Source organism: Homo sapiens, chromosome X (genome assembly GCF_000001405.40).
Source record: "Homo sapiens chromosome X, GRCh38.p14 Primary Assembly".
NCBI classification, from domain to species: domain Eukaryota; kingdom Metazoa; phylum Chordata; class Mammalia; order Primates; family Hominidae; genus Homo; species Homo sapiens.
In genome coordinates, this window is record NC_000023.11 from 132,055,139 (window position 1) to 132,071,384 (window position 16,246).

Sequence of the window (16,246 nt, forward strand, 5' to 3'; positions counted from 1 at the left end):
CAGGAAAGAGCTATCCCCCTGGGTTTCCAGACACTATTCTCAATGGTCTTAACTGTCTCAACCTCAGAGCTGATGGAACATGTAAGTATGTCACTTATTTCATTGAGTTATGGTAGTTATTTACACATTTCTCTCCCCCACCAGGTTGTGAGCTCCTTCATAGCAGGGAGTTTAGCTTAACCAGTCCTGGTACTTACATTCCTTAGCACAGGGTATGGTACATCTTAAGCATGTGGTAAATATTTGTTAAAATGGAATTAAGTGGAATAACATCTGCCTCCCCCTCCAAATAAAAGTTGGATTTTTACTGGTTCCAGGATCATGGGATTAGCAGACACCTGAAGTTCCAGCAGATGGAGGTGTTACTACATAGCAGAAAACTGGTTGGTAAAACCCAGTGGTCCTTGGGTTCCAGAGTTAGAAGTCAGGATTCGTGTCTGTTGAAATGTGAATAATAAATAGTTGAAGAAAAGCCCCCATGAACTCTAGCTTAGTTTGGAGTTTGAATCATTTTAAAATTAAAATTGTTTATCCTTGTATTGCAGTTTTTCAAATGAAGGCTGTGCTAGATCTTTGCCATTCAGGGTTTAAAAGGAGGGAAGTGTTTGTTGTTACTGGTTGATCTATAGGCCAAAAAGAGCGTATCTATAACTAATTAAGCTGTTGGCCTGCGTAAAAATTAATGCTATCATTTTATCCTCTGCTGACCAAATAAAACTTCGGATATCCATCTATACCTTTACGAAATAACCTGTCTTCAAGTTCACAGATTCTTTCTTCTGTTTGATCAGTTCTGCTATTGACACTTTATTGTATTGTTTCATTTCATTCATTGTATTTTTCAGCTTTGAAATTTCTGAGTTTTTAAAATGATTTAATCTACTTGTTAAATTTATCATTTTGTTCATTTATTGTTTTCCTGATTTCACTTGTTTCTTTGTATTTTCTCGAAGTTTGCTGAGCTTCCTTGACACAATTATTTTAAATTATTTGTCAGGCAGTTTATAAATCTCCATTTATTTGGAGTCAGCTACTGGGAAACTACTGTGTTCTTTTGGTGGTGAGATGTCTCCTTGGTTTTTCATGTTTATTATTGCCTTATGTTGATGTCTCTGCAGTTGATAGAGCAATCGCCTCTTCCAGACATTACAGGTTTCAGTGTGAAAAGACCTTCTTCCTCTGTAGGACAGTGTGAGAGCAATGGCTGGGTGGGTTGCAGTGGTTCTGGCTCCAATGAGGGCATAGGAGTATAGTTCCTGTGCAGCTTTGTCACTTGAGATTAGTGTTGACAAAGATTGCAGGGATCCTCAGTGGTCAATACCTTGGTTGTCTACAACAGTGGTGAGGGCTGTTTGAGGTCTTTGGTGGCAAGAGCTGCTAGGGTCCCCCCAGTCTCTTTTTCTTCCACCAGAGAAATCATAGCCGAGTAGATCCCTTTTGGCATTGGGTCTGCTTGTGGGCCCACTTGAGGTGGCACTAGTGTCTAATGAGTGATGCCCATGGAGTGGCCACAGAACTAAGGCTTCAAGCATAGGCATATCTGGAGGGACATGCTCTGGGGCCCAAGCCAATAGTAATACCAACGTCCTAGGTACAAATACCCCCTACTGCTGCACAGAGCTACAGTGGCTCTGAGGGTGGCGTAGGGCCTAGCTATTTGTAACATCTGAGCTGATGTCTGGAGCATAGGCACGCTCAGAGGGACCTTGTCTCCAGAGCCTGGGATGTGAGCTAGCTCACTATGGCAGTGATTAGCTCAAGTGTCTGAGCTGTGGGTGGGTCCAGTGCAACCACTCAGCTGGTCTGGAGTCCAGAACACAGGCTAGCTTTCAGTGGTGACTGTGTGGATGTCTGGAGCATAGGCACACTCAGAGAAACCTTGGCTCCGGGGCCCTGGGGTGTGAGCTAGCTCACTGTGGCAGTGGCTCCAATGTCTGAGGTATGGTTGAGCTCAGTGAAGACGCAGAATCTGGGTCTGGAGTGTGGGCACTAGTGGAGTGGCCATGACTCAGAGGTCTGGAGCTGCATCAGTTTTCAGAGTGGTGGCTTCTTTCTCCATGTGGCTCAACAATGTCTTCTTCTTGAGATGAGAGAGTTTTGTAGTCATGTATTCCTCTTGGGGTTCCCTGGCAGAAATGGCTGTTGACTACCTCAGTAGCAAGAGATGCCAGTGTCCTCTGCAGAGCAGGCCACTGGGGACCATGATGGCTTCTACTGTGTAGTGATACCAATAGCCTCCACCTTTCATCTTTGTTCCTAGACATTTCCTGGCCTCTCAGGTATGCTGATCTCCTCAGTGATCCTTCCTGTGGAGTTATTCTTTCTTTTTTGCTCCACTGTGTTGCTGCAGATTGTTAAATAGGCCCTTGAATCCTTCCAGAGTTACTTGGGTTTGTGGATAGCTGTCTATATTTGGGGGCTTTTTATGTATATGTGGAGGGAGGGGATGATTAAAACTGGTATCTCCTCTGCCGTCTTGGTGACTTTGTCATCGCTTTCCATCTATCTGTATCTATATTGGTTAATACTGATATAGAAATTTATCACAAATTTCACTGCCTGTTTACAAAACCCGACTTATTCTAATATTGGATGTATGTGGTATGAATGCATAGTAGAATGAATCATTAAGCAGCCAAACAGCCACTATATATTACACACTGTATTAGGTGCTGAAGATATAAAAGTGAACAAACTCACTACTGCTGTCAAGGCACTCACAGTCCAGTTTTGCACTGAAATGATGCCAATTTTATGGTTAAAGTATGTACAAGGTATAGATGATGCACAAATTAGTAAGTAGTCACTTCTGTCCTTTTCAGGAGTGGCATGAATAAAAGGCCTCCAAAAGGAGGTGATAATGCTAGTAATTTCTATCCAATTTCAGCATTTACATCTAAGTGTTAGCTATTACTGTATTTTACTACATACATAATTATTTGCTCCTTTGTGTGATAATTTTGCTGTCATATTTGTTCCTAAAAAGCTAATTCAGCCCATCATATTCTTTTTTAGAGATCTCATGAGTGATTACGCAGTCTCAGTAGTTTTAGGTTCTCCTCCTAATTCCCATACAATTCCTTGGTGGTACATGTGTGTGTGTGCGTGTGTGTGTATGTGTGTGTGTGTGTGTGTGTGTCTGTGTGTGTATCATTTGCTCATTCTGGTTTACTCTTTCTGGACTGAATCCCGGTATTTCCAGACTCACTCTAGGGCAAAACTGAATCCTTGCTACTTTTAGGCACCTGTGACAAAAACACTATTTTTGGTTGCTGACCTAAAATATTAAATACGCCCTATTTAAAATGGCTATTCCATAATATATTGAAAATTGGTACTGATATGGTTTGACAATTTTATTGGTTGCTTATTTATTCATATTCAATACTCCCATGGAAAATGAGTGACAGCTCTATCTTCTTTTCCTAAGATTTCATATAGAGTGTTTTTTAAGTTGCACAGTAGTATACATGTACTAGTCACCCAGTATTTACTTAATCTTTAAATAATTAAAAACTAGTTTTTTGTTTGTCCCAAATTTTGATTGTAAAGTGTACTCAGACCAGCCAGTGCTACAAAACCATCGTCCAAGATAGCTTCTTAAGGGATTAAATCAAATTATTTTTATCTCCTTCACCCATCATTAACTAAACTCTATGATATAAAACACTACTTTGAAGAACATGTTGCTTCATGATAAAATTGTAGAAATGTGCAGCTGGCTTATGTTGATTATTTGTGTTCTGAATCTATTTAAAGTAAATAAATCTGTGTGTATATACATATGTCTTGAGACATATGTATATACACACAGAGAAAGAAATATTCTATAATCTTACAACGTTTTCATACCATGTATTTAAATCACTTTCTTAAATTGACCAACTCATTTATTTTCCATTTATATTACAACATAGTATGACTGTGTGGGTTTGTATTTTTTTCTAAACTAAAATCACGTCAAATATAACAGGATTCTGTTTCATGTAGTCAACATAAGTCAAGGCCACATCCTCTTTGTGCCATCAGGGAACTGTGTTATCAGTCAACTTACATACTTATTGTGGCCCATTGTTCCATTTCAGGTGACATGGAGGATTTTGTGAGTCAAGTTAATTGAGCAAACTGGGAAATGGGTTGTTCTTACACAGGATGTCATCCATAACTAAGACCTCACTGTAAGCTGGAGGAAAAGTTTATTACATTTGAGAGAAAATTATATGTTCTTTGAAACTGTATGCAGTTGTAGTGATTTCCTTGAGACATGCAAAAAATGTACTAGGTATTCATTTTGACTAAGCTCACTGTATAACTTCATTTTTGAAAACAAGAGTTAAAAACCAGACAAACACATCAGTATGACCACAGTGTTTTCCTTTAATTTTAGTTCACTGGGCAGATTTTCTTGACAAAGTTAGTCTTTATGAAGAGTGCTAAAATAAGCAAACCCTTCCCTTCTGATCTCATAATATTGGAATAATCTTTTATAATCTTTAAATATTTTTCTAGTTCAGTGTAAATCTTAAAATGACACTCAGGCATTGAATAGAATTTGAATCATGCCTTTATTTGCTGCTGAAAATTGCCTTTAGATTTCTGTGTATGTTAAGGAAATATTGCCTCCCACCCACCATCACCAGTATTTATGAAAAAAAAAAGAATTGAATGAAGTAAAATATTTCAGAATCATCTGTACGGCTTTGTGGCCTTCTCCTTATTTTTCACTGAAACTGTATGTGCTTACAGCCAGTTTATGTATGCTCAATGCCTCTGGAATATTCTTTTATTGTTAACATTTGTTTTGGAGTTCTCTTATAAAACTTGAAGAAAATGGAGGCTAGAAAGTTTGTTCCTTCTTAAAATGTTCTTTTCTCAAAATAGGAATAGCTTTAAACTTAATATAATACACCTCTAAGAAGCCCCATGTTAGATTCAATTCAACAGACGCTTATTTATTAATGCCTACTATGTGTATTCCTCTTCTTTTGCATATTGTGGTTAATCTCATCTACTTTCGTCTGACAACTTCTAAACTGATGTCTCTGGTTTCATCCTCTCTGCTCAGCCCCAGATATGTGTTTATAACTTGCTTCATATTAATAGCCTGCTTATCTGTGAGTACATCAAGTGCAATAACCCTCAAACTAGGGAGGTAGCATTTGAACTAAGTCTTGAGAATGATTTTGATAGGGGTTGGAAGGTGCAAGTGGGGTAGGGACACAGCATTCCAAGCTGGAGGAAAATGACTCAGAAGTGGTAAATTTTCTAGCCATATTCTTGGCAAGATGATCTCTACTGTCACTTCCAGTTTTATAAAGTCTTATGTGCTGTATGTTTTTTTTAATCAGGCAAAATATACTTAACACTAAATTTGCCATTTTAAGTGTACAGCTCTCTGGCATTGGCTACATTCACATTGATTTTGTGTTTTTTTTGTTTGTTTGTTTTTTGGGTGGTTTTTTTTTTGTTTTGTTTTTTTGTTTTGCTTTTTTTTTGTGACAGGGTCTCACTCTGTCTCCCGAGCTGGAGTACAGTGGCGCAGTCTTGGCCCACTGCAGCCTCCACCTCCCAGGTTCAATTGATCCTCCCACCTCAGCCTCCCGAGTAGCTGGGACTACAGGCATATGCCACCACACCTGGCTACTTTTTTGCACTTTTTGTAGAGATGAGGACTCCCTATGTTGCCTAGACTGCTCTCAGACTCCTGGACTCAAGCGATCCTCCCACCTCGGCCTCCCAAAATACCAGGATTACAGGCGTGTTGTGCAGCCCTCACCACCACTGATTTCCAGAACAAATAAGGATTCCTTATTTTCAGATCTAGAAATTGAGTAGTTGTAATTTTAATGCTTAATGGTATATACTACTTTGTAAAGTCACATTTCAAGCTTTCTATGAACACGTTTTACTGACAGACAGTTGGCAAGTTTCTGTTTTGAATTAGTACAAACAAAAAGGCACACATTGTTTTTAACTTGGAAAACAGGTGCTTTCATTCATGCAGAACTGCAAAATAGGCAGGCATGTTTTATAAGATCTTTTTCTTTTAAATGTCAGGTGAATGGGAAGCTCTCTGAATTCATATGATAGAGTATAGTACTTGTTAGAAACAAACTTGTGGCAGAAGAAACAATTTTTAACCTATCCACCATTGTAAGAACCACTTTTTTCTTCTCTTGAAAAAAGTATAAAGGTACATCAGAGTCACAATTCTCAGGTTGCGAGTGCCTAGGTTCTATACACAAATACAAGTTATATGAACCTTTCCTGGAACTCCTCTTCCCTCACCAGTATTGTGGGAATTTATTTCCTCTATTTCCTAATGTAGACTTCACTGCTAACCAAGACTCTCAGCTTTCTGCTCACAGTGCCTGCTGGCCATCTATGTCAGGACAGAGTGGATGTCAAGATTAGTGGAGGAAGTGGTAGGGGAATATTGTTCCTCCCTTTCTCTTACAAATTCTACATAGTGTCAGCATATGGAAAGGAGAATCATTTTGTCTTAATTAACTGAGCCCTCCCTTCATGATCGCTAACCCTAGGCCACATCCCATTCCCCACACTACAATGTCAGTTCCACTCTGATTCTTCAACCCTCTCCCATCCCCTAAGCACTCATCATCATGTCACTGGGTTCCATTCTCTGCCTTGATAAAGTCACATCCTCATGGAGATGCCTGGAAATTTTAAATTGGACTCCTGAATACCTCCCAGGGATTTTTGAGTTTGAGGGCTACTGGCAGTAGCTTGAGAATCTTCACCCCGCAGCTGGGGTTGTAAAGGTGAGAAATGTGTTTCTGGCATCCCAAGTTGAGGCACCATGCTGAATATATTTTCCTACTTGAAATATTGTTAAGATATAAATAGTAGTGAGTTTCTCTGGTACTTTTTATGCTATACTACGAATGAATACATTTGTGTGAAATTGTCTTTTGGGAGGACTACCCCAGGAACTTAGACATTATTTTTATGGGAAAATGCTTGCTTTTAAAATTCTGAACATCTTACTTAAAAACCAACTTTTGGAACACAGTCCAGTCACTACTTGGCTGCTGCCAGTATAGTAAAGCCAACCATTCTACTTCCAGTCAGCTCTTTGGTCCCACAAAAATTCAGAGAATACCACTCATGAAATGGTATGGAGAGAGAGGTGTCCCTTGTATTTAAGCTATAGCTAAAATAAAAAGGGTTTAATGGTTTATTCCAGTGTTTAACTGATGGTACTGAATGGTATGTGTGTGTGTACACCTGTTTTAGAATTTGTATACATATATTCCTCCCAGGAGCCCCATTTCCTCTTGTTCAGCTCACAGGGAAGTTAATTCCACCTGGAGAAAGCACAGATTTTTAAAGCTACACTCTCCCTTTTTCTTATCCATTTACATCAGAGGTAAAATGAACAATATTCTTTCTAGGTTCCGTGTGTGCCAAAAATGCCCATTAACCGTAGCTGATAAAAGTTTGAAGTACATCAAAACAAATGAAAGCCAACAACTGAAATAAGGCAAAATATCCATTGTCCTCAAACTCAAACCCAAAATTTCTACAAGCCCTCATTTACCTCCTCATTCTTTAATGTAACTATCTTTTCTTTCCAATATCATTCAAGATAATTATTTAAAGCTTTGTTTTTTATAAAAATTACTAATAGTTCAACAATAACAAACAGTACTTTTATTTGTTTAGCTATATCATAGGCAAAAAGGTATGCGGGTAGTCTAAGCTCAGAATTTTAATTTGGAATGTTCTATGGAAAAAATATATTCGGGGTTCCCAAGCAACCATTTTTAAACCTACATTTTAGAATCTGTTCTTTATTTTTTTAATTTTTAATTTTTGTGGCTACAAAGAAGGTGTAAATATTTATGGGGGTACATGAGCTATTTTAATAAAGGCATATAATGTATAATGATCACATCAGGGTACATTTACTCTCTGTGTTACAAACAGTCCGGTAATACTTTTCTACTTATTTTTAAAAGTATAATTAAATTATTATTGACTATAGTCACCCTGTTGTGCTATCAAATACTAGATCTTACTCATTTTCTCTAACTACTTTTTGTACCCATTAACCATCACCAACTCCCCCTCCCTACTATCCTTCCCAGCATCTGGTAACCATCCTTCTATTCTCTATCTCCAAGGGTTCAATTGTTTTAATTTTTAGCTCCCACAAATAAATGAGAACATGCAAATAGAATCTGTGCTTTAGTATGTGAGATTTAACATTTTTGCTAGTATGTTATTTTGGCTCAGGTTTGTAATTATTAAATTGTTTCATGGCTTTACAGGGGTCTAAATTATGGATAATAATGGAATACCTGGGCGGTGGTTCAGCACTGGATCTTGTAAGTATTTTAAAATAGTTACACACAGATGCAAATGTGTGCATATGCACATACCTTAATTTTTTAAATTGAAGATTAATGGCTTTTGAGCACGCTAAGTGGTTGCTTTAGTTAATATGTTCAAATTAAATTCTTTTTTCATGACCTCTACCTTATGTAGGTACAGATGTATTGTACGTTTGAACATGTTGCTGGCATTCTAAGACTATATAAGAAATGCAAATAGCTTAATAAAATAAAGTCTCCCAAATTAGAAGGGGATGTGTGTATCCATTGCTGTCAAAGTTTGACTTTTGCAAGCTTATCCCTGAAAAAACTGAGTTTTCTTAGATTTTTAAAAAATATGTAATTGAGATAACTGTCACTAAAAGTGTTTTTTATGAACTGAATGTTTGTGTCCCCCCAAAATTCATATGTGGAAATCCTAACCCCCAATGTGATGGTATTAGGCGGTGGGGACCTTGGGACCTAATTAAGTCATGAAGGTGAGTTCTCATGAATGAGATTCGCACCCTTACAAAAGAGGCCCCAGAGAGCTCTCTGACTTTCTTTCCACCACGAGAGGGTGCAGTGAGAAGAAGGCCTTCTGGAAACCAGGAAGAGTGCCTTTACCAGACTCGAATCTGCCAGCCCCTTGATCTTGGACTTCTTTCCCAGTCTCCAGAACTGTGAGAAATATTGTTTAAGCCACCCAGTCTGTGGTATTCTGCTATAGCACCTGAATTGACTAAGATAGTGGTACTAGGGTTCTAAACAAGGTTGGCCTACAGATCCAGTTCTTCACAGAGTTCTCTCTGCCCCTCTATAGGTTATTTGGAAATGTGATGGCATTTGGGTTGTCACAATGACTTAGAAGTGCTCCTGCCATTTTTGTGGTCATGGATCAGAATGCTAAAATCCTGCAGTGTGCAGGAAAATTCAACCCAATGAAGATGCATTTACACACAGAATGCCTTTGAGAAACACTGGTTGTTCCCCAATTCAGTGTGATCCTATCAATGTTGAGTTTCTTTCCCTTCCTTAAAAATCTTTATTAATATGATACTATGTTTTAAAATTCAGTATGACTTATGAGAGGCAACTTAGTGTAGTAGAATGACCACTGGGCTGGCCTGGGGTGTTTGAGGTTATAGGTCTGGCTCTGTGCCTGTGAACCAGACACAAACTTCCTGGACGTAGGTGTTCTATAAAACAAAGAAGTTGCACTAAGTTATTTCTAAGTTCCCTTCCATCTTTAATATTATATTTTTTTTATTTGCGTGTTTCTGCCTTAGAAATTATAGAGTATGCTGTTTCTAAGAAAGTGTTTTGATTAAAATAATCAAGTAATATTTTAATTCTTATTTTTTTAGGTGGAGATGAGTTTTCCTAACTGAAAGTGATTAAATATTTTTAAAAGGCTTTAACCTTGACTGCCAGTAACTCAAAGCTTCAAATAATTTTATGAACAGAAATGACTATAAGAGATTTTCTTTCCTTTAGGCAGAACCATATTTAAACCATTTTAAAGAAATGGTAATTAAACTTGATGGAGAGCCTCATCTACTACTAGGAATTCATGTCAGTTTAATCAGTTGCTGAATTTGGTAATCTTTCCTTGTGTCTAATCTAATTCTTATATCCTAAAGCCTGAGTTCATTTTTTTTCTCTCGTCTCTAGTGAGAGAACACCACTGATGTTTCTTTGTGTAATAATCCTTCATGCATATGGAGTCAGGCTTCATTCTCCTCTTGAAGTTAAATGATCTCATTTCTATTTGTCTTGTCACAGAGTCATATTATTCAATAGTTTTTTCATTAGCTCTACAAGAAGCCTCTCAATTGTTTCATGATCCTCCTTCCATTTTTTGAATATTAAGAGCCCTTTCCAAATTTATCAGTTGTCTTATCTGGTTCCTCAGGGTGCTCACCATATCTCTTCCCCATTTTGGAAGCACTGGCAAAGCTAGGCCACTCTGTTCAACAGGATCACTGATAGCAATGTTAAACAGTGAACACTGGCCTAACCCCAACCAATGACCCAAATCTGTGTCCCCTATTAGTAGTTTGGTCAGTTTTATGAAATCTCCAAGTTAAATGATTGTGAGATCTTAATCTCATCCTGCTATTCTGAACTCTACTTAATAAAACAAATAGCCATTAATAACAGTTTCAATGAATGAAAAATGTTGTTAGTACTGTATTGGTTAAGAATCAAAAGGCCTAGGTCATAAACCCAGTGCTAACACTGACTGCCTGGCAAATATTGGGCGGCCCTTTAGCCTCCTTGTGTCTTAATTTATTCACATGTTAAATGAAGAAATTGAATCAGTAATCTCTAATTTTGTGTTCTTAGCTCTAAAATTCAATAATATTGTGATTTAATTATAAAACTCATTTAACTAGACTTTACAGGGAGAGCAGATAATGAGAAAATGTGCTATTCCTTTTTCATGTATATTCCTGTACAAATAAATGCTATCATTTGGGGGAATCTAAGACAGGATTAGGTGTAGAGGAAGGCTCTGCTACTAAGAACAAGAGGAAATAAGAGGGATGTTTAGCAGAGAGTGTTTCTCACATTAAACTGGTGCCTGGTACCTAACTAATGGAATAACATAAGATTACAACTTGTCATTTATGTTAACATTATACAGTGTCTACCTTGAGTCACTCCCATTCTTGAAAAACAATTTATTGTATGTGAGCAGACTTTGAGTATATTGCACATCATTTTATTGAGTTTATTATGCTCCACTTCTTTCCAAAAAGAATCGTGGTGGCTTGCAACAAAAACACATATAATAAGATGACTAGAATAAAACATGAGCCCCAAGAAAAAAGAAACAATATGCTAACCATAAGAGAGGGCATAAAATAGCAGACTGCATTAGGGACTGGCTGGAAGTTAAATTGTGACAAAGATCCATGAGCTCACAAATGTACAGTCTTCGAAAGAGTCAAGGTCCCTCTCTTGCATATTCTTACTTGACAACAGAGGCAAATTACACAAGGCAAGTACACTGCCCTGGGACAGAGATATTATCTGTTAGAGACATGGCAAGTTCTTCAGTTATCGGAGAAAAGTTCAAATGGAGAAGTCTCCCTGCCACAGAGTCTTTCTTCCCATCCTCCTCTAGCACCCAGTTAATTGAGATTTCACTTTTATTGAATTTTAACATGAACCTAAAATATAGCAGATAAGCTCATGAATCTTTGGGATCCCCTTTTTGTTGTTTTTACTTAAATATTTTTAAAAACTTCTGTATTAGGTAATATACTGGCTTATTTATGTTACTTTTACATGTCCTTCAGAATGATAGCTAGTAGGTCGTACATTAATCTTGCCCAATCACTGAAATAACCAAGGATATACCTCCCCTGGTCTTGCCAATGTCCTGTGATCAGATGATACTAATTACTGATCTTAAGTAGTGTGACATTTGTCCTTTAGTTATTTTGTAGTACCTCAGAAGTTCATTGCCAGCCATCAACAAAATAGTATGCCATTTTCAACCTTTCTAGAAGACTTTAGAAACTATTTTAATCACTACTGTTTGAATAGAAACTTTGGGGTGGAAGTTGATAGATTTGAAAGTAAGTAGATAATGTTACCTAGGAAAGGGACCTATTGAATTACAGATATCCCTGGAGTATACTATATACCCAGACCACAGTTAATATTAGATGGTGAGACCAAAGTATGAGTTCTATTTTAAGCTGTTAAATTTCAACATGAAAGTGCCCTTTATTCAGCATAAATATGGCATTCATGAAAGATGAAATACACAAGGTGCCAAAGAGCTGTGGATCCCTCCCAGTGTGAGGCAGAGTGGGCAATGTTTGATTTTCACCACCTCTTCCCTCCTTCCAGAAGCAAACAGAACTCTACCTCTGCTCTGACTTTAGATTCCCACCCTTTCCTGTAATAATATTGTACAGTCCACTGTTTGTGCTTTATGAGGTACCAGAATTTTAAAATAACCATTTATTTTAAAGAGGGATTTTCAGATATTCCATTACAAGTTCTCCTGAAACCTAATCATTGCTTTCCTTGTATTCCAGTTGGAACTATTGGCTTTGGTACAGGGATGGGGAAATAAAGGGATATGTGTTACATTTATTTGAAAAACATTATCCCTCCATGATTTAATTTTTTTTTACCATCATAGTCTGAATAGTTTAATTATTATATTCTTGGCTAAATTTACAATTTGAGTCTCAAAAAGGCTATTCTTTGCAATATTATTAAAATACATAAATGCTGACTGATATGATCAAATAGTTGCTGTGGAAATCTTATGGATTCTCTGACCTAAAAATCAGTTTCGTGTCAATATGTAGTAACTTTTTCACAGCAATTGCCTGAATTTAAGTAGCTGATTTCTCTTTTTTTCCATCTAAAGAACAGATAGTTGGTTCTGTCATTACGTAAGCATATTTGTTTCATCTTTGATGTAAATATTCAGGAACCTCAGAATTTGAAGCCTAGTATATAGGTAAAAGGGCTCGTATTATCTTTCATTAAATTGAATCATTAAAAAACCTGTTCAGCCCTTTGACTGAACTCTTTTGCTTTCTTCCTTCACATTTTACATTTTTCCTTCCTTGTTTAGATATTGGTTTGATAAACAGAACGGCATCATGTGTCTAAGTGATTTCTTCATTTCAAAGGTACCAATTTTGAATTTTATGTTTCCAAACTTTTACACATATGTGTATGTGTGTGTGTGTTTTTCCCCTTAAGCTTCGAGCTGGTCCATTTGATGAGTTCCAGATTGCTACCATGCTAAAGGAAATTTTAAAAGGTCTGGACTATCTGCATTCAGAAAAGAAAATTCACCGAGACATAAAAGGTATACAAAAGTCTAATATGAACCTGAGAAAAATAGAAGCATTCTGAGCAAGCTGAGTTTTTTTTTGCTTTTCTTTTTTTCCTCCTAGCTGCCAATGTCTTGCTCTCAGAACAAGGAGATGTTAAACTTGCTGATTTTGGAGTTGCTGGTCAGCTGACAGATACACAGATTAAAAGAAATACCTTTGTGGGAACTCCATTTTGGATGGCTCCTGAAGTTATTCAACAGTCAGCTTATGACTCAAAAGTAAAGTATTACCTGTACAAACTGTTTTGGGCTTGTTAATAAATTATATATGGCACACTATCCTAGTTAATACACTGCCTTATTTTTCCTTGTTTCACAAGTGTTTCTTAAGCTAGAGTTATGTCATATTTTGCTGCTTAATCATAAATTCCCTCACAGCTAACTAATATTTGGACCCTATTCACTTCAATGGCTTTTCATCCCACGTGGAATAAAATCCTAAGTCCTTTCTGTGACATATAAAGCTCTACACAATCTGGCCATTATCTGCCTTTCCAGTCTTATCTCCTACCACTCTCTTCTAGATTATTCATCCACAGTGGCCTCATGGTTGTTCCTCAAACATAGCAAGTACACCCTGGCCTCAGGACCTTTGCATGCCCTTCCCTCTGTCTGAAAAAACCTTCTTCCCACAATCAGGTCTTTGCTTAAATATCACCTACGCAGGGAAGTCTTCCCTGGCCATCTTATGTAAATTTGCAACACCCTTCCCCCCATGATTCATTATTCTCTTACTATGCTTTGTTATTTTCTTCACAGAAGTTAGCACCGTCTGGCACCATATTATTTATTTATTTATTGTCTTTCTTATTAGAATGTAAACCCCTTAAGAGCAGGGATTTTTGTCTGGCTTATACACTACTGAAATCCTCCATTCCGAGAAGGGTACCTGGCACAAAGTATGGAATTCATTATGTTTTACATAAATGAATTCTACTAATAAAAATTTATTAACACCACATTTTCTTGAGAGACAAGTACTGTATAGCCATTAGGTTCCACAGACTATTTTGTGGTAGTATATTGGAATGGAGTTTCAAGGTGATATACATACATACACATATATATATATATATATATATATATATATATATATATATATTATTTTCTTTTTCCTTTTACGTTAGGCTGACATTTGGTCATTGGGAATTACTGCTATTGAACTAGCCAAGGGAGAGCCACCTAACTCCGATATGCATCCAATGAGAGTTCTGTTTCTTATTCCCAAAAACAATCCTCCAACTCTTGTTGGAGACTTTACTAAGTCTTTTAAGGAGTTTATTGATGCTTGCCTGAACAAAGATCCATCATTTGTGAGTATATATTGCTATTATTACTATTTGTTTTCTATTATTAGATCTACTTATAGCAAAGGCAGCTTTTCCTGCAGTAGGGAATACAGTGTATGTGAGAATTGTCTAAGATCCATCCAGGAACCTGGTTCGTCCTTCTGTATTGCTATTTCTATTGAGTTCTTAACCAGATTCTTCATTCTTTTTCTCCTTACCCTTCGTTTTTTTCTTGATCCTCAGCTTCCTCCTTATTCTATTCATTATTTCCTCTTTCAGGGGGAAATAAATTTGAGAAATAAAGTTAACTTTATATTATGTCATTATTAAAGTGTATGTATAAATACAATGATTTTTGTTCAACTGTTTTCATTTTTCATGAAAAGTTATATTTGGGTTTAACTATTTTTTTTTTTTGAGATGGAGCCTTGCTCTGTTGCCCAGGTTGGAGTGCAGTGGCATGATTTTGGCTCACTGCAACCTCCAGGTTCAAGCGATTCTCCTGCCTCAGCCTCCCAAGTAGCTGGGATTACAGGCACCCGCCACCATGCCTGGCTAATTTTTGTATTTTTAGTAGAGATGGGGTTTCACCATGTTGGCAAGGCTTGTCTCGAACTCCTGACCTCTAGTGATCTGCCCTCCTCAGCCTCCCAAAGTGCTGGGATTACAGGCATGAGCCACTGTGCCTGGCCAGGTTTAACTATTTTTATTTGGTGTTTAGAAACTTCAATGTGAAGTTGTATACTTTTCCTAGGCTAGTGAGCTCCATTCATTTACTTGGTGGATTCTATTACAGTTGTTTTACTGTTGTTGAAATAAAGCTGCCTTGTGACTTTTTGAGACGAGAAATACACAAGAGCAGTCCAAACTTGATATAACTATTTTTAAGTTGATGATAAACATTCTCATGTTAATAAAATGAAGGCGGAACATCCTCCACAGCACCTGGTGTTTGCATTTAGATGCAATAGACATTGATTTGTGATGGAGAAGGGATTATATGTGTAGATAATAACAAAATTACAGCCTTGCAAGTTTTCATCAGGTTTTTTCAAATTTACAGTAAATGTGATTAAAGTATTTTAGAACACTACTTTGAAATGTTTTTAAATGTTTACTTTCTAAATACTGTCATGTGTCTCTCTGCTTTTGAGAAGGCCCTGCCTGCCAGTTTGCTGGTGGGTAAGCCACCTGCTGCCCGTTGGGCTTTAACAAATTGGGACACCAAAGTAGTAGATTCAATGTGGTTGCCTTGAGCCACTTCAATAATAGAATTAGCTATTTTCCTACAGCATTTTAGTTGTTCTTATGTCTACAGACATACCTTTATACCTTTCAGCTTAATAATTCAAATGATTTTTTTTACCATTCCTTGTAATCATAAGAGTTCAACAATTGTCATATGCAGCCTTGATCTTTTTATCCTTAGCGTCCTACAGCAAAAGAACTTCTGAAACACAAATTCATTGTAAAAAATTCAAAGAAGACTTCTTATCTGACTGAACTGATAGATCGTTTTAAGAGATGGAAGGCAGAAGGACACAGTGATGATGAATCTGATTCCGAGGGCTCTGATTCGTATGTACAAATTATTTAATTTTTATGTAGGCAGCCTATTTAAATATTGTATATCTTTTAGCTATGCTCCAGTGTGCTTGTTCTAGCATAAAATATAAACCATATTTTGAAATTTCACCTTAGAAACTGTAAAAATCTTTTTCAATCACAGTCTGTGGAATACAATG

General features: G+C 37.0%; 1 protein-coding gene across 5 annotated transcripts in view; it reads left to right on the plus strand.

Moving 5' to 3' along the window:
- The window catches only part of STK26 (serine/threonine kinase 26), a 52,642-nt gene that overhangs the window by 31,837 nt on the left and 4,559 nt on the right, over positions 1 to 16,246 (plus strand). For 4 of the 5 annotated variants that reach the window (NM_016542.4, NM_001042453.2, XM_047442155.1 and 1 more), the window contains 5 exons: positions 8,295 to 8,351; positions 13,077 to 13,185; positions 13,274 to 13,431; positions 14,340 to 14,525; positions 15,931 to 16,079. In NM_016542.4, coding sequence (NP_057626.2) covers positions 8,295 to 8,351; positions 13,077 to 13,185; positions 13,274 to 13,431; positions 14,340 to 14,525; positions 15,931 to 16,079 — 659 coding nt within the window. The remainder of the gene's footprint in view (positions 1 to 8,294; positions 8,352 to 13,076; positions 13,186 to 13,273; positions 13,432 to 14,339; positions 14,526 to 15,930; positions 16,080 to 16,246) is intronic. The other variant, NM_001042452.2, reaches the window with a different exon arrangement.